Source organism: Homo sapiens, chromosome 3 (assembly GCF_000001405.40).
Source record: "Homo sapiens chromosome 3, GRCh38.p14 Primary Assembly".
In the NCBI taxonomy this organism is placed as follows: Eukaryota; Metazoa; Chordata; class Mammalia; order Primates; family Hominidae; genus Homo; species Homo sapiens.
In genome coordinates, this window is record NC_000003.12 from 60,759,029 (window position 1) to 60,785,999 (window position 26,971).

General features: G+C 40.7%; 1 protein-coding gene across 7 annotated transcripts in view, besides 1 other annotated feature; it reads right to left on the reverse strand.

Moving 5' to 3' along the window:
• Window positions 1–26,971, reverse strand: part of FHIT (fragile histidine triad diadenosine triphosphatase) — a 1,504,176-nt gene that overhangs the window by 1,011,752 nt on the left and 465,453 nt on the right. The window lies entirely within an intron of this gene.
• Window positions 13,263–14,118: an enhancer, noted in NCBI's record as "OCT4-NANOG hESC enhancer chr3:60758024-60758879 (GRCh37/hg19 assembly coordinates)". NCBI's record gives its function as "activates a minimal SCP1, AML or CMV promoter by ChIP-STARR-seq in naive and primed H9 embryonic stem cells {active_cell/tissue: H9 hESC(naive and primed)}" and the evidence as "EXISTENCE:reporter gene assay evidence [ECO:0000049][PMID:30033119]".

Sequence of the window (26,971 nt, forward strand, 5' to 3'; positions counted from 1 at the left end):
GAGGTGTGGGTGGCACTTTTGAGTACCAGTAGAAGGCCAGTGCCACTGTAGCAGAGGAAGTAAGGAGGACATTGGCAGCCTATGCAATCAGGGAGACGGCAGGGACAAGATGAATAGCCTCAAGAACTTTGGCTTCTATTTTGAGACAATAAGTTTTTATGGTTTTGAGTAGAACAGTGATAGGAATTGATTTAGGTTCAAGGGGCTCATTCTGGCTACTGTGTTGCAAATAAGGTGGCAAGGATAGAAATAGAGAACACTTACGCAAAAGTCTAGAGCAAAGATGGTGACTTAGACCAGGGTTGTAGCATTTATATTTGATATGCCATTTAAATATCCAAGGGAACATGAGTAGGCATGGGATGTGTAACCGAAGTCTAGAGTTGAAAGAAGAGGTCTAAGCTAGAGATAGAGATTTCGAAAACATCAGTATTTAACCTTGACAGTGGATGAGATTTTCTAGGAAGTGAGGAGAGCATTAAGAGACAAGTTTTTAAGGATGGAGCCCTGAGTCATTACAGATTGACAGATCAGAAAGAGGATGATGACCAGCAAGGAGACCAAAAAGGCCAGTGTGGTTAAGTGGGAAACCAAGAGGGTGTGGTGTCCCCAAAGCCAACTGAAAAAAAAGTATGTCACGAAGGAGGAAGTGATCAACTGTATCATGTACTGCTGATAGATCAAGTAAGAATAGAACTGAGTAGAAAAATGGATTTGGCAACCAAGGGGCCATGGATGACCCAGACAAGTGCATTCTGAGAAGCGGTGGGGATGAAAGTGGGATGGAGAGAACATGTGCAGGCAACTCCTCTGATGTTCTTTGCTGTAAATGGGAAGCAGAGAAACGTGGGAGCTGGAATGAATTATGCAGGCTTCTTTCTTTTTTTCTTTTCCCTTCCTTCCTTCCTGCTTTCCTTTTTTCCTTCCTTCCTGCTTGCCTTTCTCCCTTCTTTTCTTTCTTCCTTCCTTTATCTTTCTTTCTTTTCTCCCTCTCTTACTCTCTTTATTTCTTTTCTTTATCTCTTTCTCTTTCTTTCCATTTCTCTCTTTCCTTCCTTTGTTCTTTTTCTCTCTCCTTTCGTTCTTTCATCTCTTTAGTTTAGAGACACTACAGCATCTTCATATCCTCTCAGAATTGTCTAGTAGGGAGAGGAACCCAAATGATGCAGGAGAGAACAGATAATTGCGGAAGCCAAGTGTTTTTGTAGGCATGTGTTGAGGTTCACGGCACCATGAAGGCCGAGGGTGGAAGCAGAACAGTTCAGAGAGCACATGGTCTAGGAGCAGGTAGGCTAGTGAGAGCATGTGGAGGTTTCCTCCTGACTGAGCTTTGCTCAGTAAAACAGGAAGTAAGGGCATACACATAGCAGGACCAGCAGAGAGAAGCTATTGGAGATCTGAGAAAAGGGTGGGAAATAGTCATCCAGGGCAAGTGGGTGGAGTAGGGTCCTGCAGTAGGATTGCTGAGCAGTGTGTTGGGCTTTAAACTGCCTTTCATATGAATCCACAAATCCTACTAATATTAATGAAAGATATTAATTTTCATTTTTCCTGCTCCCGTCAGCTTAAAACGAAAAGTTTCTCTACTTAGCCCATGAGGAGTCAGAAAAGAAAAAGTAATGCCCAGCAAATTTCTCCTTCCTAAGCTAGAAAGGAAAAAATAAGATATTCATGTAAGGAAAATAAAGAAGACATGGCAACTTGAAATTATGAAGAAATTCCAAATGTTGCATTTGGTAGTGTTCTTAAGCTACCATAAGAGATCTTCATTCTATTCTGGGTAGGGAGAATGTACGTGGCAGTTGCTAGGAATGATCCTTTGCCCGTGATCCTTCCCATGTGGTACCCCACTGTCCCCAATAGACCTGAGTGGCACAACCAACAAAACAACATTCAAATATATGGAAATGATCTTTATTTTAGACTCTTTCTCATTTAGCCTGTTGGGCTCCGAGAATGTGAAAAATAAATCTGAAGCCTTACTTTTAATAGCTTTCTTATAAATTATCCCCAGTATGTAAAAGCCCAGCTCCTAGATATAACCAGAAGAAGGGGGAGGGGGGAAAGACTAATGACCTTTGACATTAAAATTTAAAATGTCCTGCATGCAAATACACTTTCCTGCCACTCTTTTGTAATGCAATAACCAGCAAGAATTAGAATTGCAAAAATTCCAAAAGAGCTACATGGAAATTATACAACAAAGTGGTTTCACAGTGATATTGAGAAAGGAATATGAAATGAATACAAGATAACATAGAGACAGAATGGGGTGTTACAGATGTATGAGTGAACGTGCGTATGAGCACATGCATGTCTCAGAGAGAGCAACAGATAAAAAATTATTTCTTTTTTTATGTTGCTCTTCATGAGCAAAATTTTAAGACAGACACTGTTCTGGTCACATTTCAATAATGTGACACATGGTTTCTATTTACATTCCAAATGAGTTTTCACTAAATGACTTTCGAAATATTTACTTGCAAGTATAAAGGAGACCCTTTGAATGTCTGATTTGAAAAAAGAACAAAATCAAGCAATTATCAACATAGATGTTCTAATACAAACTGACACTATTTTCTTCCATGTCTTTTTTTTTTTTTTTTTTCATTCCTAGACACCACAAAAGACCAATGCTACAGATGTCTCTCTTTCGGCTTTAAATACTTCAACTGTGACAATGATAGTGAGACAGACTGCTTCAGGCCCTGTAGCTAGGACATAATAAATAATTCAAACAAGTTTTGAAAAATCATTTGGCCCATATAATATACCAGCTATCCGAACATTTACCAATGCCCGCCCCCTCCCCTCACACCTCATCCTTATTTTCATTTTTTGCTGCTTCCATCAGCTTAAAATGAAAAGTTTCTCTACTTAGCCCATCAGGAGTCAGAAAAGAAAAAGTAATGCCCAGCAAATTTATCCTTCCTTTGCTACCGGCTTCCATTAAATTGAAGGTGACTTCACATTGATCCTGGGTTCAATTCACATATCCAAAGAGACCTCAGTGATTAACATAAAGGGCAGTCCAATCAAGGATAGACACCTCCATGTGTGTATGGTGAGCAATTTGGTGGGATGTAAAACATAAATGATGTAGCATCAGAACACCTGGTGTGGATGATGCCACCACTTGCCTACCCAGTTATTCTCCACTTCTTGCCCTGAGTTTTTCTTTCTCTCTCTCTCTTTTTTAACTTAGATAAAAAATAATCAGCTTCTTAACCTCCCTTGCATCTAGGAGTCATCAAAAAGATATCGGTTGATCAATAAGATCAATAAGAATTTGATAGGCAGGGCTTCCAAAAAAGTCTGTTGAAAAGGGAAGACTCAGATAACACAGTTTGTTAGTGTTTGCCTTTTGCCCAAGATCCTTCCCTCTTTCTTCTGCCTGTGATGCCCAGGGATGGAGTAGTCAGTTTGTAGCCTATGAGGACAAAAGTCCCATGGCAAGGCATAACCATGCAGAAAGATAGAAGGAACTGTGTCCCGCTGGCACTTTGAACTTCTTGAGGCATCTTGGGGAAAATAAGCCCCTCCTTGGTCTAGCAGTATGTGACAGTTAATTTCAGGTGTCAATTTGGCTAGGCCATGGTATCCAGATACTTGTTCAAACATATCTGGATGTCACTGTGAAGGTAATTTTTAGATGAGATTCATCATTAAATCAGTAGACTTTGAGTAAAACAGATTACCCTCCATAATGTGAGTGGGCCTCATTCAATTAGTTGACAATTAGTTGACAGTCTTAGAAAAAGAGTAGCATCCCCCAGGGAAGAGGGAATTTTGCCAGCAGTCTGCTTTTGGACTTGAGTGGCAATATCAACTGTTCCTTGGGTATTTATTGTGTTGGCCTAACCTGCAGATTTTGGACTGAGATCTCAGCCTTCATAATCATGTGAGTGAACGGCTTAAAATCGATCATCTCTGTCTCTCTCTGGAGAACCCTGACTGCTACACCATTACACCATTCTAACTGGGTTTCTGTTCACTGAAACTGAATGCAATTCTCTCTGACACATCTGAGATCACCACTTCATACACTGTGTAACTGTGTAGGTGTCTGTGACCCTCAGCTTCCAGATCTACAAAATGGGAATATGAGTACTCCTGACTCCACAGGCTTGTTGGCTTACACACGAGACAGAATGTGTAAAAGTGCTGTGCTGTGTTAAGTTACAAAGCCCAATCGAAATGATAGGGATCATTATCATGGTGGGCTCACTGTCAATTCACGACTGTAAGTCTGTTATGATTGTATTCACTTAAAATAATAATATTCTTCAAATCTGACCATAAAAAGTCATTATAGAACATTTGAAAGTTCAAAAACGCATGAGGAAGAAAACACTCAACCACCTCCATCATTCCATAGCTACTGTCATCTACCAATACCTAGCATTTATTGAGTTATTATATAGCAGGCAATGTGTGAAGCAATTCAATGCATTATCTCTACCCTGTGAAGGTAGGTACTATTTTGGTGCCCATTTGGCATATGGGTGAAAACTTGTCACCGGACATATAGCTAGTAAGTGGCAAATCCAGGATTCAAACCCAGGTCTGAATTATTCTAAAGCCCATGTATGTATCCAGCAACACATGGCGATGAGCTGTGTTCTTTAATAATGTATTGGCTACTACAAAATTGGAGTGTGATCAGGTAACCCTTACATCAGGAAAAATGGGGTATGCACATTGCTCAGCATATACACAAATCAAGACTCATATTACAAGGCTGCTAGCTCTCTTGTCAGGGATAACATTTTAATTTGAAATGAAGTGGAAGAATGTTTCATATCAGCTACTCCGGTTAACACTGCTTTTTACTTCAGATAAAGATATCCCTTCTGTCAGGCACCCTGAAGTTTTTCTGTAAAAAGTTGTGTTCATTTGTTTCAAACTGCCCATACATCCATGGTCTCATTTCATTTTCCCTATAGCCCGCTGAGTTAAGAGGGGCAGGTATTATTAACTCCATTTCACAGGTGAAAGAACTGAGCCCTAGAGAGGTTAACTAAGTTGCTTAAGGTCACACAGCAAATTAGTGGTACGACGGGGATTGGAAAGCCTAACGCCTGACATCCAGCGTGGTATGTTTTCCATCATGTAGTGCTCCATCACCTGTCACTCCCACCATTCCTGAGGGGCTTGGAGTTGATGGGGCATGCTATCAATTTCTCAGGGTAAAACTGTCCTATCTGGGTAGGAAAATGCACACACACACACACACACATATACTAGACACACTGTAATTGCATCTGCCAAAATGGTTTTATAACAATCCAGTCAAGGATACAGAAAACTCCCAGGCTGCCTTTCAGAAACAAAGCCCAAAGGATCAATTTCATCATGAAATAGGATTTCCTCAGCTGTAGGTGGATGGGTAGGTGGGGAGGTGGATGAACTGCATTAACAATGGAACAGTGGACTGCAGGGTAAAAGCTCATTTGACATTCACTGCTATTAAGCAGTGGCAATGTAAACCTGGGGTAGCAAAGAGCAATACCCAGGAAAAAATACGAAGAAAAGTTTCAACTTAACCCTTCTGTAACTTTCTATTTATAAGTCTCAGGGTATTAAGTCTCATTCTTTAGAAATAACAAATGCATATTTTGACTCACTCTGTAAGATATTTATAAGAAATAAAGAGCAAGGGGGTATTGATTAAGAAAAAACTAGGATGAGATTATAGATATATTAATATGTGTTAATATACAACATATAATTACATATAATTAATATATAATAAATGTACAAATATATAATGTTATATAAATGACATGTCAATATATGAATATATATATTTCAAGATCATATTCTTAACCTGAAACCAAAAAAAGTACAAATAGAGGTAACATATTGCATTGTCTATTTAGCATTGAAACCAGGATTTTCAGATAGAAACATTTGCCTTTCCTAAGCTACGCAAGCCATCAGATATTTACCTCAGTGGCACTGGTCTCAGTGAAACATCTTAATGTCTCTTCTCTCAGTTGGTTAGATGAATGGATGTCATAAGGTAAAAAGAGGAACTGCAAGATTTGAAGCTCATAGAAAAAAGACTGGCACTGGGAATGGCAGTTACCGGGAGATTGAAACAAGAAGGCTTCTAAATATGCTGTCAAAACCAGCACCAGTGACCTCTCATCAAGTGAGGGGCAGCACTAAAAGCTATACCTTCTAGAATGATGTTACCTTGAAAATCATGAGGAAATCTCAAGTGTCTTTCTACTACATTAGCAAAAGGAAGTTTAGGGAGTTTAGACACCAAGAGACTGGACCTTCTCAAAAGGGAATTTGCCACAGAATCATAGATGTTCAAAATGTGAACCAAGCTTTCTTTCAAATAAAAGTGAATATCAGGGCTTAAAACAGAAAGACACATTTCATCAAAAATGATTAGGGGCCCACGAGTGTTGACTGGGGAATGAGAATAGTGGGTAAGGTTAGGGGGAAAGCCAGAAAAAAAGGTGAATCAAATATACTTACACTAAAAATCCTGGGGCTCCATGTGATCCAGTCACGGTACCTTGTCACAGAGAGAAATGTAATCAGGGATCCAGGAAGTTCTTTACAGGTTTACTTGGTGTGATGCTTAATATTAGGTGTCGACTAGATTGGATTGAAGGATGCCTAGATGGCTGGTGGAGTATTGTTTCTGGGTGTGTCTGTGAGGGTGTTGCCAGAAGAGACTGACATTTGAGTCAGTGGACTGGAGAGAAAGATCCACCTTCAGTGTGGGTGGGTACCATCCGATCGGCTGCCAGTGCAGCTAGACCAAATGCAGGTGGAAGAAGGTGCGATAAGCTGGCTTGCTGTGTCTTCTGGCTGCCTTCTTTCTCCCATGCTGGATGCCTCCTCCCATCCCTCCTGCCCTTGGACATCAGATTCCAGGTTCTTCAGCCTTTGGAACTCAGGAACTTGCAACAGTGGCTCAGACTTTGGCCACAGTCTGAAGCCTGCACTGTCAGCTTTTCTGGTTTGAGCCTTTCAGACTGAGCCACTACCAGCTTCTCTCTCTCTCAATTTGCAGACAGCCTATCCTGGGACTTTGCCTTGTAATGGTGTGAGCCAACTCTTCCTAATATATTCCCTTATATATATACATACATATATCCTACTTGTTCTGTCCCTCTGGAGAACCCTGACTAATATACTTGGACACATGAAAAATTATTAAGAAGAGATGTCTATTCTTAATGCATTAAGAATACTGTAAAATTATTCTCTCCTCATTGCTGCCTTTCTGAAAATTCTTCATGTGGTTGGCAGCTGACTCAGGAGCACTCTCTTTCCTGGCACTTATCCAATGGCTCTAACACCCAATCTGGGCAGCCTGTCCGGCTTACTGTCTCCATCTCTCCACTCTTGCTTATGTACTTCAACACAGACTCTTTATTTCTTTACTTTTATTTCTGTTTTCTTTACTTTAGGGAGGACCTGGGAGTTTACCAGGAAGCTCAAATTCTTCCTGTATAGAAGCTAGGAAAATAGTGAAGATTGTGACTATCCATACTCGAATAATTTTATCCTATAACATCTCAACAGATTTTGTCTCTAAGAATTCTATTGTCTCAAATAAACCCAGAAGTTAGCACTTTAACATGGGAGCCTTTTCAAATGGTAGAGTCTCAAGGCCACATCTGACTCCAGAGATCATGGTGTTCCTACAACACTGAGATGATGATAGGAACTACAGTTGAAAACAGATCTTTCTCCCCACATCACCTTGATCAAGTCAATAAATGTTAGTATATGCCAGGTACTGGGCTAGGTAGTAGGAACACAGAGATAAGCAAGACAAGATCCTTATCCCTGAAGAAGTCACAGTTCAGTGTAGTATTTCTAAAATTGCATTCCTTAGAATGAAAGTGACCCTTGTAAAAATAATCCATGGACCAAATACCTTTTGGAATGTGGCATGCTCAATCTCCTTTTGGACATTTTTCATGCTCATCCTAATGCGAAATGATTATATAAACTTCAGTTCTTTACTCCAGCATTTCCCACATTTAACTCATCGCTGACCCATTTGGCTTGCAAAACTTACGTCTTGAATTGAGCCTACAAATGTTAACAGAAATTCTACCATTAGCTTAAAAAACAGACAAATAACAGGCATTTTAAAGATAAAATAAGAAATAATGATAGCATTTTAATATAAAGTAAATAGTATTTCAACCAAAAGGCAAGTGAATCTGTATGTTGTCTTAATGGAGATTATATTTGTTTGCTCACTACAGTTTATAAGAACAGAGAGGATGATAAAGACACCACAATGATGACCATGCACAGAGTGTTTCTATCAGCAAGCCTATATTGTGGGTCTTTACTCACAATATTTTATTTAATTCTTACATCCCTTCTATGAAGTAGGAACTTATATTTCCCATTTTCCTCCATAAAGAAATCAAGGTTCAGAGAATTTGTTAATTTGTCTGCTACGATCATGTGCCTGGTAAGTGATGGAAGTGAGATTCTAATCCAGACTATTTACTCTGAAAACCTAGTGGCTCCCAATTCTAGTTATATATCCCAGAGAATCTACTGTTAACTGATTTAAAATGTCCATTAGCAGAGAAACAGATTAACAAAATTCGGTGTCTTCACATGATAGATGATCAGATGGCTATCAGACTATCTGTGGCTTCTGAACAGAAATAAGAAAGAGGCTTTGGCAAGCTCTAGATTAGAATCAAAGAAAGGCTTTCCCTCTTGTTAAGCAACTCTTGTTCTATTGCGCCCCAACAAGAGACAGAATGTTTCAAGATAGGACACCAGGTGACTGTGTGGCCTGAGCTGCCCAACCTGAATTGGGTGTTGTTTTATCCACTGTCTATTACATTGGGTGCACTCAGCAGCAGCTGTCTGTATCAAATGAAAGTAGATTACACGGGATTGTACTATTAGGCTTACTCTGGCTATCCCTGTTTTAACCCAAACCTAAGACTTCATGGGGCATTTTTTATGTAGTTACCTGAAGAAGGAAAAAAATAAAGCCTACTTTACAGACAACATTGCACGATAAGCTAGCTCCAGCCTGAAGTGGACCCTGAATATTATAACCCCACTCAAGGTGAGTAGCCCTAAAGGACATTGAAGAAGAAAAATCCCATCAGTGGGCAAAACTTCAAATAATTACCTCTTGTGGTCAACACTGCCTGGAAAAATAGTTGGCCTGAGGTATTGTTCCACGTTAATTCATGGGCTCATGAATGAGGCATTAGGAAGAAAAAGAGGGGAAGACTGAAAGGGAAGGGAACAAATACACAGTAAGGCTTCTCAAACTTTTACCAGAGTGTGAAAATATCTGTCTATGTGAATGTAGACTAGAAGGTCCCCACTGTGGAGAAGGCACTCAGTAGCTAGGTAGGCAAGGCCTCTTTCCCTGCCAACTCAGAGCTTAATCAGCATATTCATAAAAGCTATTTAGTATCTACGGTGGCCAAATACAGAGGTTTGCATGGGCTGACCAATAAGGACTTCACCAGTTCTGGCCACTGCCACTCCCAAATGTACCACTTGCTAGAAACATCAATAAGGAAATCTGTTGGAGAGTTAGTTTTTTGATTCAGTGAATACCAATGTGCTCTCCCACATTTCCTCTACCTTTTGTGGTAAGGTGGGGCCATGTGACTAGTGCAGGCCAACGGGCTACGAGGAAACAGAAACCTGTCATGCCTGTGAGGGGCCCTGGCAAGGCATACCGCCTGACCTGCACACCAAGTGATGAGGTCAGAGAATGCCAGATTGCTCTGCATTCTCTGTATAGAGGAAAATTGCCCCGCAAACTGCCTGATTAATATACCAATCCTGAATCAAAGATACAGAAAAATACCCTGACTGGACCCTCCAGCCACCTGGGGGCATGCTGTTTGTATGGACCCCATCTATCATAGAGGAGATGAAAATGTATACTTCTTGGAAAAGACATATACTCAATAAGAATTATTTCCCTGTTTGCCAGGCTTCTGTGAACAACCTCAAATGTTTTATTCACCTTGATGGTCTCCCACAGAACCTTCTTGACTAAGAAACTCATTTTATATGTACATATATTTATATGTACATATATTAAAAAGTAAAGCAATTTAGTTGGTGCTCATGGGATTCCATAGTCTCACCTAGTACCCCATCCTCAACAGTGGAATGGCCAGTTAATAACTTGGCTGTGGTTCCAGTTAAAAGACAACACCCTGAAAAGCTAAAGGACTATCCTACAGGCTGCAGAATGTTCTCTTAACTAGTGATTAATTATAGTGCTATTTTCCCATACCAAGAATATATATGTCCAGGGGTCAAAGGGGAGAGGGGAGAGCAGTGCCTTTCACCATTACACAGAACAAATCACTCATTTTGCTTTCCTTACCAGGAAATTTGAGGTCTGCTGTTGTAGAGGTCTTACAACTCAAGTGAAAAATGCTTCCAACAATAGATATGATAAAAGAAAAACTTCAGCCGAGTTAAATTTAAAGGACTTTAATTGAGCAATGAATGATTCACGAATCGGGCAGCCCCCAGAATCACAGCAGATTCACAGACTCCAGGGGTGCCTCATGGTCAGAACAAATTTATAGACAAAAAAGGTAAAGTGACGTACAGGAATCAGAAGTCGGGTATAGAAACAGTGAGATTGGTTACAGCTCAGTGTTTGCCTTGTGTGAACGCAGTTTGAACATTCAGCAGTCTATGTGTGGTTGAAGTATGGCCGCTGGGATTGGCCAACACTCAGCTATTGTTACAGGTGCATACTATTAACTTAGGTTTTCAATTTTGTCTGTTAAGCTAGGTTACAGTTCATCCACAAAGACTCAAATATAGAAGTATGGCCTTTTCAGGCCATATTTAGTTTGCTTTAGCAGATGCAAGAGTGTTTCTATGAAATTGGAAGCTGAAACTGTCCAGTGGACATTTTGGACACCTCACACCCCACTCAAACTGAGTAAAAAGGGAGTTATTGTGTTGGGAGGGGTCATTAGTCTTGATTATCAGTTGGGAAATGAAGTTCCTGCTCAGCAATGGAGGCCATGAAGAGAATACCTACCATGCAGGTAAATCCTCTGGAGTATTCCTGCTACTGCCGTGTGCCATGGTAAAGGGTTAGACTCCAGCAACCCCAAATGAGCAGAAGCATTGAGGGTTTCCTGGATAGAATTACTGATGGACTGTTTGTTCAAGGGTAAGTTAGAGTATGTTAAGTCAGAGCAAGGTATTATAACTTGAAAGTTGAAACATGGAGAAAAAAAAAAAGGAGTATTATTGATATTTGGTACCAAGAAAGGGATCAGAGCGAAATTTGTCTCGCGTGGCTGCCCAATATCCTCTGGATATTCTTGCTCATAATAATGTTTGCTCCACATCATGAATTCTTCCTTTTCAAAGGGAATTTCAGAAAACTCATATCCTTTGCAGCTAAGGAGCAGGCATGCGGTCTGCCCTCCTCTTCTCAGGCCACACAAGACTTCACTGTGGAAGTGAGCAATGAGGAAAAACAGGCTATGTGTGGACATTCATTTTTCCAGTATAGGCAGTGAGAAAGGTATCCAGATTTGGGGATGTTAGGATAAATTGCAATAAAATTAAATCCTTCGTATCCTAGATGTTACAGTCAGGAAAACATTGTGGTATCCAGTAAGTAGATGGTGACAATTGCCTCATAAGCCCAGTTCTAAGAAAATGTTCTGCAGTCAACAGCATGTCAATGGCTGTTTTCTGACCAGACCAGTTCTGCAACATAGTTTTGGACATTGTTCCCAAAAGCTTAGCCTCAAGCTTATTTCTCTGGGTCTACAATGATTCTTCCAAATGCCCCATATCCTTTAATAAATTCCTTCTCTATTTAAATTAGAGCCCATTCTATTGTTTGCAACTAATGCTCCTGACCATATTTTCCTTCTCCCACTTTCAATACCCAGGCAAAGATTGTTTTAATCATTCACAACCTAACAGTTCTCTCTCAGGAAAGTCTAATCTAGCAATATTTTTTTCTGTGGAATCTGCAACCTACTCCTTTACCTTTAAGCCATAAGCAGTGAATGAAACTGACTCCTATTTCCAGAATCCCACCTGCATTCCTTTTCCAACTCAATCTTCTTTCTTAGCCTAAGGCTAGCCTATTTATTGTATGAAATATTCTTTTCTGTCAGTGAACATGGCAACATCTTTGGCTAAGTCAAAAGCCTAACTCTTCATCTAGCTTTCAACTTGGAAGCACATCCCTGGACACACCTATGCTTTGAAAGTAATATTTATCTCTCTCTCTCTCTATCCCACTGTTCAACAATCATTTTGTCTGCTTTTTTTGAGTTACACTTTGCATATCAATACTCTTTCTGAAAACTCCTCCAAAGTGTTAAATATCTGGCATAGTCATTTCAAAACAGGAACGGAGTGGTCTGCATGTTAAAGAAGGCAAGAATGCCAGAAATTGTCCCATTTCCCATGTTGATCAGTGACTGTGTAACTCAGACACGTTGCAGAGGCCTACATGGCCTACTTCCTGAGAGGGGGGTCTCACTGCCTTGTCAGGATTCCAGTTTAAGAGCACAGGGCAAGTGAGACCACTGAATACAGTCATTTAAAAAGTGCTACAGGAAAGTATTTAAATAGTCATCTTATAGAAGGGGGTGAAAAAGCACATTTATTGATGCAGTAATTAAAAAAAGATTTAGATCCAGTGTGTCAATTCCCATAGAATCCCACTTAGCCCCCTTATCTATGTCAAAGCAAACTTAGTTTCACATCAGCAGTGCTTCTCATTTATCTTAATGCTAAGGATTTATTTCTTATGCAAAATTGTTCATTTTCACCAGCCTGGAACTTTAAAAAAATTCACATTCTCTTCTTCAAGAATTTTTATTAAGCCAAGATGTCATCAAGCTGAAAATCTCAGACACAATTTTGGCTCTCTTCTGCAGGAAACTCAGAGGAGTGCCCAATCCAGGCAACAGCAGATTAGCACTGGCACTGCTGACAGGTTCTTAAAAGTGTTGGAAAGAGAAGAACAAAGGTGGTGTACAATGATTGACAAAGATTTCTGCTATAAACTAAAGTTGAACCAATAAATATGTCTAGACTCTGCCATGACTATCTGTGGCCTGGAAGCTGCATTCTTCAGAAGAAAAAAAAAAAGTTGCAGTTGGAATTTGGAATGGTTTTGCCCCCATGATGTGCACACAGGACTTTGATGAGTAGTCTGATATGCAGAAGCATCCAGATTATCACTGAGATAGAAATGAAACATCCAGATGATAGATTAAGTAGATTGTTCACTTCTCATCTATATATATATATATATATATATATATATATATATATATATTTGACATCATAGAGGCATAATCAAAATCTGAGTAGGTAAAGTCACTAACCAGAATACGAATACCAAGTTACCTGTGTGGTTTCATGGAAAAATAATAGGGGAATTGACATCATCTTTATAAATGTTGTATCAATGAGAAAATTATGACAGTCGGGGAGATCTGATCTAGCCCATCTGCCTCCTGTCTTTAGCATTCAAGCTGCCAAGCTAGCTTTGGGAGACATTTACTTTACAGTTTAAATGATAATAACCCTTCCCCCCAACTCAACTGCCTTTGTAAAGCTAATGAGGGACCAACTGAGGGAAGGAGAGATGCCTGGATGCTGCTAAGGTACAGACATGAACAATTGCCAGCCATTATTCCAGAGATCACAAGATTTGCAACTTCCCTAATTACTCCTGCAGGCAACATCACTATTGTAGATTGGCCTTTTGAGATACTGTTTCAGGTTTTTTGCATGTCTGGCACCCATGGCTCTACTTGGACCCACCAACTGATGGTTCCTCTGGCCAGAAGCAACTCAGTGTAAGAGGACAGCTTCAACTCCCTATGATTAAATCTCCAACCCAGCCAATCGGCAGCAAACACCCATTGCATAGCCATCCCTACGCCTTCGCCCAAACTACCTTTGAAAAGCCCCTAACCTACAAGCCTTCTATGAGATTGATTTGAATAATAACTCCATCTCCGGCATGGTGTGGCTAGCCTTCTGTCAACTAAACTCTTTCTTTACTGCAATTCCATGGTCTCTGTTTGTGTAGCAGGCAGGAAGAACCCACTGGGTGGTCACAGAATTTCAAGGCTGCAAAGAGTCAGACTTTACTCAAATATTCTAGGCAAAAAAAATAGAATTTAAGGGTTACGATCTGCACAATCATGGTCAAAATCAAAGACACATCGAAACAGTTAAAACGCAACAGTTATCCCAAGGTCAAAACCAAGAATATTTATTTATTAGTGTACCCTGTAGCTCTGTACCCAATTAAGCCCAAACATCTCCCTAGACTTCATCTCCATAATCATATGGGTATCTGATACCCGTCAATGCAATTTTCTTGATCACTAATGAAACATTCCTTGTTCATTGCATTAGTCTTTATAATCACAATATTAAATCATTTTCCCTGGTGTTTTCCCCTAGCAACAATTTATGAGCCATTACAGAATTTCTGTTTTTTTTCTATGTCTTCTCTCTTCTCATAAGTTAAACCATTCCAGTATCTTGCAAATGACCAGACAACTACTTTAAGACTTTGGTTGTAACTAGAGCTTCCTACCAAGCTATGTAATTAAGCCACAGTATCTTTGCTCTTCTAGCTTACAAGATAATCATCTGATTCCCTTTTGTTAAACTATTTGCCCTTTGGCCTTATAGTTTATTCACTTGGGAACTAGATTACAGTTTCCCAGACTATATAGCTACAGAGAAATTATTGTGACTTATTATAAGTTTAATTCATGCCAAACAATACCAGTCTGATTTCTGGCTTAATACCACCTTCTTTCATAAAGCTGGACCATCATTTTGCCTTTAATCATCTTCTTGATTAGTATTTTTCCAAGTGTTTCTCAACTCATTTCTTCTATAGAATTAAAACATTCCTACTGGATGGGCTACTCATTTTAAGGATTTAAAATTTTCAGTCTGGATTTGGGGTTACACCTTTGATGGATGAGCTTAAGGAAGATACGAAAATGGCAAAATTATCTTCATGATGACATCATAATGGATAGAACAAAGTAAATTTTATAAAATGGTTTCACATGCCTTATTCCATTTGATACTTAACAGACTTGAGAACTGGACAGAGTAGATATAGTAGTTCCCTCTTGTGCACAGGGAATATGTTCCAAGAATCCCAGTGGATGCCTGAAATCCTGTATAGTCCTAAACCCTATACATACTGTTTTTTCCCTATATATACATATTTATGATAAAATTTAATTAATTTATTCTTTTTGAGATGGAGTTCCATTCTTGTTGCCCAGGCTGGGGTGCAATGGTGTGATCTCAGCTCACTGCAACCTCTGCCTCTCGCGTTCATGCAATTGTCCTGCCTCAGCCTCCCGAGTAGTTGGGATTACAGGCACCTGCCACCACGCCTGGCTAATTTTTGTATTTTTAGTAGAGATGGGGTTTCACCATGTTGACCAGGCTGGTCTCGAACTCCTGACCTCAAGTGATCTGCCCACCTTGACCTCCCAAAGAGTGGGATTACAGGCATGAGCCACTGTGCTTGGCCAAAATTTAATTTATAAATTAGGCACAGTTAGAGATGAACAACAATAACTAATAATAAAGTAGATGCCAGCATCACTACTTTTGTGCTTTGGAATCATTAGTAAGTAAAATAAGGGTTCCTTGAATATAAGCACTGTGATACTGCAACAGTGGATCTGATCACAGAGCTAGCTATAATGTCACTAACGGGCAAGCAGCACAGACATCACAGATACATGGGATGATTCATACACTGGGAAGGGCAGAGCAGGGCAGCTCAGATTTCACTGTGCTGCTCAAAATGGCATGCATTTTAAAACTTACAAATTGCTTATTTCTGGAATTTTCCATTTAACATTTTTAGATCGAGTTGACCACAGGTAACTAAAACTTTGAAACAGCAGATAATGGGGAACTACTGTATTACTATGCCCATCTTTATAAAGCAGTGGTTTCCAAACTGTGTTAATGCAGACCAAATTCATGACATTGTTTCAACCAGTGCAGCTCCTTTCATATTAGTTTTTTAAAAAAACACATCTAAGTAAGATCACCATTTGAAATGAATAGAGTGTATGTTGGCTTTTAAATAAGGAATGTTTAAATGCCCCTGATAGAGGAAGAAACCAAAGCTCAGTACAAATGGTAAACTCACATCTCCACCTGTAAACACCAGGTAAAAATTGAAGGAGCAGGGACAACCACCCAAGTCTCCAGCCTGTGAGACAGCCAGGTGAGGAGGGGTCCCCAGAAGACCTCCAACTGGCCTGTGCACCGGGGTGGAGCCTCGGGAATTTCATCATGTTTGCAGCGGGGAGGAGCCTGGCCCTTCCTTTTCCTGTGTGGAACCTGGGATTCAAGCTGTGGGCGGGAAGTGCTCTATCAGGGACTCAAGCCTTGGGAGACTCCCTCTTTCCCCTTTACTTCTTTTTCACCCAATAAAACCCTGCTCACCCTCTCCATCGGTCTGTGAACCTAAATTTTCGTGGCTGTGGGACGGACAAGTACCCTGTCTTTAACTGAACTATGGAAAAGTCCTGCAATATTTTTGGCGCCCAACGTGGGGACTCGAGAAGGGGTAAGTGAGATGCAAACCAATAATTCTTTTTCCCTCTCCCTTCTGAGTCTTCTCATCCCCGTGGCCTTTTCCTTCCTTTTTTGGGATGGACCGGCGAGCAGCAGCTGCCCACTGCTCCTCACTCCATGCCGGGGCTGGGACACATGGCCTAAGTGTCCTGCACAGCCTGCTGGCTGGTTCCCCGTCACTCCTGGCTGTCCCAGCCTTCCCCTTCCCTGGCCAAGGGATGTAACTCTATCAGACAGTAATTAAGCTTAAATTTGTCTCCCTGGTGGAGGAACCACTTGCAAAGAAATATGAGGTTCTTCCTCAGGCACTTTTAAACTGTTTCTTTTCTTTCCCCTTCTCTACCCCATCAGCAAGTTAACTTAAATTTTTTTTTCTTTTAGAAGATGTTGTACTAGGCTAGCCTCCACCCACCCCCAACAACTGTCAGTGTATTCTCTGCAAAGTTTCGGTTGTGAAATCAAGCCTCCATCTTGTTTTATATCCTGAGGGCATGGCTGGTAATTGTGGCAAGGATTTGTTTAGCAAAGCCTTGAGAGGATGAACCCTGTAAGATTCAATGTCTGCATGTTTTCCTAGCCCTTTCTCTTAAAGGGCCCCACCCAGCAACTGGGTTTTCTTCTGCCTGCCTGTGTGTGTACTGTACGTAATGTTTGTCAAGAGAACTCTAATTAATACAGCCTAAAGAAAGACAAGTGCTTGAATCTAATATTTTTTAAAGGGAAGATAAAGTCTGGTACCTTTCAGTTCACATGACTTTAATCTTTAAGAAATAGAAACAGTCTTAAAAACTATTGGTCAAATGCAGGTATTATCAAAATGTAAATAGGTAGGCTAAATAATGCAGGTCAGATGCAAGGTTTGCTAAGTGTTTTGAGGTTACAAACTGCTTTTTGGGTTTTCAGAACTATATTGACTTGCCAGCTTCACAACTGGTAAGGCCTGGGGACACACGGAACTAACCGCACCCTTAACTAAGAAGGCAAACCTTGGCTGCAGTTAGCACACAATTAAAGCAACTTAACAAGTTTTAGTTTACAGTTAAAAATTGCTAGGAGTTAATTGAATCCACTAGAAATAGATTTACATGCAAGGTGTATGAGAACAGTAAAATGTGTTTTTCAGTAAAAGGTTATAAGAAGTCATGGAAATGTAAACTTTTGCCTAGGGTTAAGGATTGTTTTGAGTTACATTAGGAAAAAGCTGAAGGTTCCAAGAAGTGGTGGAAGAATTGTGGAAATTAATCTTGCAGAAGAGGTTCTCTGTGTGAACATACTGACTACATTCAACCAAGGGTATTATATGGTTTTTCTGTAAATTGAGCGTTGAAGTAAAAGCATAACGAGGTTTTCCTAAGGTGCTAATCTTAATCTGCTCTTTGGCAAAATTTGTAAAGGGTTATAAAAGGTTTTCGCTTCTTCAAAATTTCTGAGTCATCATTTTGACAAAATAAATAACTTTTGGTAATGTTGACAAAAGGAGTCAAATTCTGTAAAATATTTTTACAGACTTATTGTGAGCCACATATGAGTGACCATGGCCCGTGACACAGCCCTCAGAAGGTCCTGAGAACATGTGCCCAAGGTGGTCAGGGTATAGCTTGGTTTGATATATTTTAGGAAAGCATGAGACTTCAAATATATTTAAGAAATGCATTGGTTTGGTTCAGAAAGGCAGGACAACTCAAAGCGGAGCCTTCCAGGCTATAGGTAAATTTAAACATTTTTCTGGATGACGGTTGAGTTTATCTGAAGACCTGGGATCAATAGAAAGGAAATGTTCAGGTTAAGATAAAGGATTGTGGAGACCAAATTTTATTGTGCAGAGGAAGCTCTCAGATAGCAGACTTAAGAGAGAGCAGGTTATAAAATGCTTCTTATCAGACCTAAAAGGGTGCCTGGCTCTTAGTTGATTATCTCCTGGATCTGGAGAGAAAGGAATGAAAACAAAGGGGGAAGGGGATTCTCTATAAAATGTGGATTTTTCCCACAAGAGACGTTGCAGGGCAACTTCAAGGTATGGCAAGGAAATATATTTTGAGGTAAAACATTTTGATTTTTTTCCTTGTTATGCCACAGTCAGATTGGAAAGTAAGTCACGATATACAGGGTTAAATAAAACCCATCTGATGAAAATTTATGGTTTGTAAGCCATGACTCCCCAGGCTCCTTAGATAGGAATTTGGGCAATATTAAAAAAAAATCAGAGCTTAGTCCTCAGTAATCTGGAATTCCGTTTCATAACATCAAGTGTTTTAAACCTTGAACATTTAACAGCCTTCCCAAAGTCAAACTTCAGTTTCAAAATCGTCTTCCCTGGTACATGGCTTTTCAAATACTTCAGAGGGCCCCCGATGTGTCCAGAACTAAGAGAGGTAAACAGAATTATTTGACATGTTTAGGTACATGGGATTGCCAAAATGATGCTCAATCTTCTTTAGGTTATAGCTGGGTGAATAATGCCAATATATGTTCCAAAATTGTATGGGATTTCTAAAATTCTAATGTCTGAGTATATGCTATCAACCATAATTAAGGTTTTTATGTTAAGTTATAGTAAACCACGGAGATAACTAAACTTCTTTGTCAGTCGTGTTTCTAATTGTAACTACCCTGGAAATTTTGCTATTCACAGACAATTGTTGCTTTAATTCTTTTTCAGAAGATGGTTTATAATAAGCTATAGGACTTTGACAGGTGCTTTCAAATACAGGCTTCTGATAACTTTGGATATTGTGACACTGAAATACAGGAAAATGTACAGGACTCAAAAGCTGAAATGCTCATGATTATCAAGCAAAACAAGAGTTAGCCAAATGGACTGAACTCAGGAAGCTGAAGCAACCTTTTTGACTTTTGCTTGGAATATTGCTAATCCATGTTTCATTTTTCAGAGTCAAGGAAACTTATTTTGAACTATTTACAGCCTTTAACAATTGAGTAAGGTATACTCCTATGAACAAAGTTTGAAGCGTGTTTGTTTCTCTCTGCCTGGTTCCTCTAGAATTTGGAAACTATCTGTGAATATTGTTATGGCAATATAGTTGTTTGCATCAGTGCCAATAAGAATCCATTTTTCTTTTGCAGCAGGACACATTTGGAGAAAGTAGTTATTTTACCAAGGTTTTGACTGGAATGGTATGCTTCCCTTTAAGGAGTCAAGCTCAACTTGCAGAGCCAATAAAAGCCCCATGGGGAAACTGGCCTCATACTGTTGTCTATGCAGTCCCTGTACAGGGTTCCTGACCTGTGGTCAGTAAAGAATGTCACTTTCTAGCAGGTCCAAGAGCTCCAAGTTTATTGTGGGACCTTAAGAGGAGAGGATCACCCAACTCACAGGTATTTGAGGATGCAAACCCATGGCTAGGCTCAGCTTTAAAAGGTCTTATCTGTGATTCCTTGTGGAAAACATTTCCATCAGTGCCAATCCAAAAAGCCTATGTAGAAATAGTTATTCTTGCTGCACTTTATGCAAATAATCAGGCCAAGTGTAAGACTAAAGTCTATTTTGCAAAGCACTCAGTCCTACCATAATTTTTTTAACAAAAATGAGGACTGGAGAGACAGAAATTATGTTCCAAAATTTGCCATACATTTGTCATTAAATGCTAAACTCATTAGTTGTTTTTAAGTTTTCATCTACCTTTTAGACCAACCCTGCTTGCTCCTGTGAACCAAGCAGCAATCTCCAGCTGCAGCTCAGAAAGAACAGGAGGGATGGGTAATGTAGAAATATGGATCAATATTCTAGCTCTGAACAATTATCCTGCAAACCCTGCCAGGTGATGGAATAAATAGGGTGCCCATTACCAGGAGGTTTCCTTTTTGGGAAAGTAAGACCAAGTGAACTAACCAAAGCCAAGCATCACGTATCCAAATCCTGGCAAGCATAACTATAGCTACCAGTTATCTGGGTGTGTCACAAGACATCCTTTTCTCTCTCTTGTTGGAGGAGAACTGGGTTCCACAGCTTCACTTTAGCATTTGTCTTATGATAAGGAGGCCATGCAATGCCCCATCCGAGATACATTTTTGTCCCAGACTGAATTCCAAGCTTCACATCAAAGCCTTAGGAAGGAAAATCGGATCTTAGGGATCCAGAGGCAAATGACAACAGAAGTTAAAAGGCACAGCACAGGTGAGCGTGACTGATTCCTGCTGATTAAGCCAACCCCAAACTTCCTGTTTCATGGATAAAGGCCACGTTAATATCCATGGCATAAATGAGGTCTACGGAACTCCAAGGCTACTGACAGCAGGGGAGATAGGGCATACGTGGGTAAGAGCGGATGATTCCCACCCCTAGGCCCCCCTGCTTCATGGGTGCAAGTTGCTTTAACACCCATGGTGGCACCTACCAAGGTCACTGGAACTTGGGGATGCAAGGATAGAAGATGGAAAGAGGATGCTCTTCCCTCTCTACCTCACATACCTAAGGTATCTGCTGGAAGAAAAGGGAACCAGGTATGCCTGCTCCCCTCTTTCTAGATGGGTAGCCATTCATCTTCAGTCTGTATCCCTTTCAAATGCATCCTGAACCTCTGGGACTCCTTTAAAAGGCACCTTCTTTTTGCCTTTCTTCTCCTCTGTTCTCTCTTCACTAATAGGTAATTGTGTCTCCATACTACAAGGCACTCTCCTCAGATGCATCCTCCAAACTAGAAAGAGTTGGTTTCCCAAACCTTAAACTGGTTAGCTTAGGATTGGGCTCAGGGGAAGGGGACCCAGAAGCCCAACGTGCCAGCAAAAGGGTAAAGTTTTTTTTGCCAGTCAGGCTTTTGGCCTCCCTCTACGTGTGCAAACTGGCAAAAGGCCTCAGGATCTTTGAGCTGTCCTTACCCTCCCTTCATTTCGTTTTGATACATAGTTTCTAATAACCTGGTTTGTCTGTTCTTGCCTTCAGGCCATTAAACTCTAAACAATCATGCAAGCAGAGCCTCTGACAATGGCCCTTTCTGCTGTGAACCCTTAGATGGGCCTCTGCCGTTTCCCCAAAACAGCGCCCCCTCTCAGCAGGAAGCAGTTAAGGTCAGTCTTCATCCTTATCCTTAATCTAAACGGCAGCTGGATGTACCTCTTTAGAGGGAGGAATGAGACAGCTAGGTGGGAGGGGGTCCCCGAAAAACCTCCAGTCAGCCTGTGCACTAGAGTAGAGCCTCAGAAAGTTCACCATGTTTGCACTGGGGAGGAGCCTGGTCCCTCCTTTTCCTGTGTGGAACCTGGAATTCAAGCTGTGGGCAGGAAGTGCTCTATCAGGGACTCTAGCCTTGCAGAGGCTCCCGGTTCCCCCTTTGTCTTCTTTTTCACCCAATAAAACCTTGCTCACCCTCTCCAACAGTCTGCGAGCCTAAATTTTCTTGGCCATGGGACAGACAAGGACCCTCTCTTTAGCTGAACTAAGGAAAAGTCCTGCAACACCTCCAACAACTAACAATTGTTTCCAGTGCACCTCCATTCTCCAGGAGGGAGAAGGCCAAAGCACATAAGTGGAGAATGCACACGTTAGCCCATTTTCAATAGTTTAATACTTTAAAAAATAGTAGTGTTGCTGACTTTCAAGCTTTAGCATCTACACGTGCTAGATTCACTTATTGACTCATTAAACTATTCTTTTACCAATGAGCTTACCATATGCCAAAAACTATGCTATACTGGGAACCCAAAGGCACACAGAAAAACTAGAAGACTATTTCTGCACCAGTCAAGAAGCACACAAATGGACACTCATGAAGAAACTATAGACCCAAAGAAAACCATTGACAATATAGGACAAATGGCATATCAAGTCCTGAGGAAAGAGATTAGTAAGGAGGTTAATATTTTAAAAAAAATAGAAAAGGGAGAAATAATGAATCACTGGAAATGGTCCCATCAACCTGCAGTTCTTCACTATTTTTCAACTTAAAATTGGATACATTTATAGTCACTTGACCTCTCTAGGTCCCAATCTCCCCATGTTCAAAGTACATATCCTATTGCTAGCTCTCTCTACTTTGCTAAGTCTATTGTGAAAATATCACAATATAAAATACTTTGAAGCCTTTTAGGGAAGCTTAAGGTCTTCTACAAATAAAATAACAAGAAGTACCACTTGGCTGAAAAATGAAAGAGGTAGGACACCAATGGTAGTAAATCACTTGTATCACTTTGTTCAGAAATTATTTCATTTTTTTCATTTTATTGAATATAGACAAATTATAGTTGTATATCTTTATGAAGTACAAAGTGATACTATGATATATGTATACAGTCTGGAATGATTAAATCAAGCTAATTAACATAGCCATCACCTCAAATACCTACCATCGATTCTCCTAACTGAATCATTGTACCCTTTGACCAATATCTCCCCATTTCCCCTACTCCCAGCCTCTGGGAACCACCATTCTACTCTCTGCTTCTATGAGTTTGATTGTTTTAGATTCCACTTGTAAGTGAGAACATATGGTATTTGTTTTTCTTTGCTAGCTTAGCTGACTTAGCATAATGTCTGCTTGGTCCACCCATGTGGTCAAAAATGGCAAAATTTCCTCATTTTTAAGGCTGAAGAATATTTCATTGTGTGTGTGTGTGTGTGTATATATATATATATATCACATTTTCTTTATCCATTTCATCTCACACCTATTAAAATGGCAATAATAAAAAGATGAAAGACAAGTCTTGGCAAGGATATGGAGAAAGGGGAACCCTTGTTCACTACTGATGGGAATGTAAATTTGTACAGAGCTGGTTCAAGGGAAATCCAAGAACATGGCTGTGAGGCAAGGACCAGATGAGGGTATTAAGGGACTATCATTACAGTGGAAAAATTAACCCTATCTTTTTTGAGAGAAGCCAGTTACAATGCTTGATGCTATCCCTGACACACTCTCTCTAGCAACAAGTTCCTTTTCTTTCGGCCCTTAAGTAAGGCTATAAGAAGAACAGAACAAAACAGCAAGGAGATGAATACCAAAGCACTGGCCACACTTTTCCCCTGTGGGCCTGTCTTATTCCATTCATGCTGCTATAAAAAATACCACAAACTGTGTATTTTATAAATAATAGAAATTTAATTCTCACAGCTCTGGAGGCTGGGAAGTCCAAGGTCAAGGTGCCAGTAGATTAAGTGTCTGGTGAAGTCTTGCTCTCTGCTTCCAAGACAGTACATTGTTTCTGTATCCTCACGTGGACGAAGGCAGAAGGGTAAACAGGCATAAAGGGCCTAGCTAGTTCCCCCAAGCCCTTTTAAAAGGGCACCAATCCCATTCATGACGGCTCTGTCCTCATGACCTAATCACCTCAAAGGCTCCACCTCCTAATATTATCACACTGGGTTGTTTTTTGTTGTTGTTGTTTTGACAAGGTCTCCCCCTGTTGCCCAGGCTGATGTGTAGTGGCACAATGTCAGCTCACTGCAGCCTCAACTTCCCCAGACTCAAGTGATTTTCCTGTCTCAGCCTCCTAAGTAGCTGGAACTACAGGAGTGCGCCACCAGCTAATTTTTGCATTTTTTTTTTTGTAGAAACAGTTTCGCCATGTTGCCCAGGCTCTCACTGGGTCTTATGTTCCAACATACGAATTTGTCTGGGGGATGGGTGACACATACATTCAAACCATAGCAGGGCCTTCAATAGGTCATTAGAGAGAGAGCCAAGGAACACCAGTGTGGCTTTTTGCATTGAACAACGATAAGTTAATGGAAGTTTAACATAGCCCACAGTCTGTAGTCAGAGGTCAGAGGAGTAAGGCCTTACATGCTACAGATGCCCACAAAGGAGATAAGAGGAAGCCAGAAGAAATAGAAATTTGTTTGTCAGTGGATAAAGAACAAGGCCAAGGTTTTCTTAAATAGTGATTGATGAGGCCCTGGTTTACTGTAACAGTGTACTTGTGATTTTTTAATTTTGTAAAAATTGTCCCAGTGTGTAATTCTCTGTTTATACCTGAGTGTGGGGAAATGAATTTTAAGGAAAAAGCCCTATATTTCCTGATAAATCACTTCTATAACTAATTGGTTATTTAATGATTCATCTGTGTAAAAAGGGGGACTAATGGTTTTAAAATAAAATTTCATCAACAGTTGTCTCTTTCATAAGGTTTGAAAACAAAGAAAATGGAGATGATGATGCAGGTGTGGCTCTTTAACAGAACCCACAGGGGAGCACACAGGCTCTGGGGAGAGCAAACAAGGCAAGGGCTCAGAAGACTAGGTTCTAATCCCAATGCCCCTTTCTCCCGGATATTTAATCATAGTCAAATTACTTAATGACCCCAAAGTACAGTGATTTCCTTAATATTTTACAAAAGAATAAAAGCACTATGGACTTTTCTTCAAACAGACATATCACCCCTGGCCTCAGGAGTTTAATATTCAGTGACTCTTTGGCAGGTCGTGAACTGCCCATCAGTCCCAGTGGTTGTTATGAATGTCCTCTGCTCATCCATCCAGATCCCCTCCCCATCTTTCTTCATCCTGACTCTTCCTGGGAGGGTGATCAATATAGACCTGCCAATAGGCTCCTGCACCCTCTAGCTTCTAATTGCATTCTGTCCACGGGAAGCCCTGGTGAGAGTTACATCATTCCAGGATTGGGAGCAACCTGTAAGAGGCCCCGGACAGCTGTGTCCATCCTCTGAAAATGAAGGCTGTTCTCAGGTGACCTGCTCTACCCAGATCTTTTTCCTTCCAGGTTCTTTTTTTTTTTTTTTGAGATGGAGTCTCACTCTGTCACCCAGGCTGGGGTGCAGTGGCACAATCTCAGCTGACTGCAGCCTCTGCCTCCCAAGCTCAAGTGATCCCCTGCCTCAGCCTGCTGAGTAGCTGGGACTACAGGCGTGCCCCACCACACTCAGCTAATTTTTGTCCTTTTAGTAGAGATGGGGTTTTGCCATGTTGGCCAGGCTGATCTTGAATGCCTGGCCTCAAATGATCTGTCTGCTTCGGCCTCCCAAAATTCTGGGATTACAGGCATGAGCCACAGTACTTGGCCTCCTTCCAGGCTCTGATAAATGTTTCTTCCCCTCATCTCTTAAAGCCTAGGGGAGGTTATGGACTGAATGTTTGTGTCCCTCACAAAATTTATATGTTGAAATCTAATCCCAATGTGATGGCATGAGGAAGTAGGGCCTTTGAGAGGTGATTAGGACATGAGGGTGGAACCCTTGTGAATGGGATTAGTGCCCTTATAAGGGGCTGAAAAGACCAGAATTCTACCCCTTCACCATGTGAGGACACAGCAAGAAGGCATCCTCTATTAACCAGAAAATGGGCACTCATTAGACACCGGATCTGGACTTCACAGCCTCCAGCATTGTGAGACAGACATTTCTGTTGTTTATGAGCCACCTGGTTTAAGGTGTCTTGTTTTAGCAGCCCAAATGGACAAACACAGGGAGGTAAGAGCCCCTACCAGCCCCTGTCCACCAGAAAGATGGGGATCTGAACAGAAGCCAGAGGTGTAACTGGAATGGACTCAGGTGTTTTCCTCACAGAGCAGATAACTAAAGCTAGAATTCTTGATAAGAAAAATGGGATAAAGAAATAACAGTTGCAAAGGTAAGAAGCAGAGACAGAGTTATAGTCCAGAGGCCAAAAGGATAATTTTAAGAAGAAGGAGTAGGTCTGAAAGTGATGACTGAGACTAGCCCTTGGCTGTGGTGATTAAGATCTTTGGTGACAATAGAAAATGTAACAATAGGAGTGGTCTGTTGTGGTGATAGAATCTGCAGACCGGTGGAAGTCCATGGGCCCATTTACCATGCCACAGGCAAAGAGTATATTAAACTCCCACGAAGAGAAGTGCCTCTGGATTCATTTTGCCAACATTCACTGTACTGATATTAGCCATGGACTTGCAGAGGGTTTATTTACTATTGCAGCCTGGCTCTCTGCTGTGTCTGAAAGTTGACCTTGGTGTCCTCTAAGTTTTATCCCAGAGAAAAAGACAGCAATTGAGCTATTCCCCAGGCACAGGGGGCAAAATTTGAAATTGACATAAAACCAAGATTCCCTGTCTGACTTGGGCCTCTGGGATTGTATTGCTGCATCCTGTGGTGGCAAAAAGAGTATCCTGGGCAGTAAGTGATTTCAATTCCACTTAAAGCAACAAGTATTTGCTGAAAACCAACCATATTCTTAGTAAGAAGATGGGTGCTGTAGGAGACAGAGAATTAAATGAAATCATTCCTTCCCTCCAGGAGCAAACAGCTTCATGCTAGAAATAAAGCTAACTCAAATGCAACAAACAGAAGACACACACACACACACACACACACACACACACACACACAGAGAGAGTACTTTTCAAGATTAGTAACAAAGAGATTATCTACAGAGATAAAGACAGAAGAATCC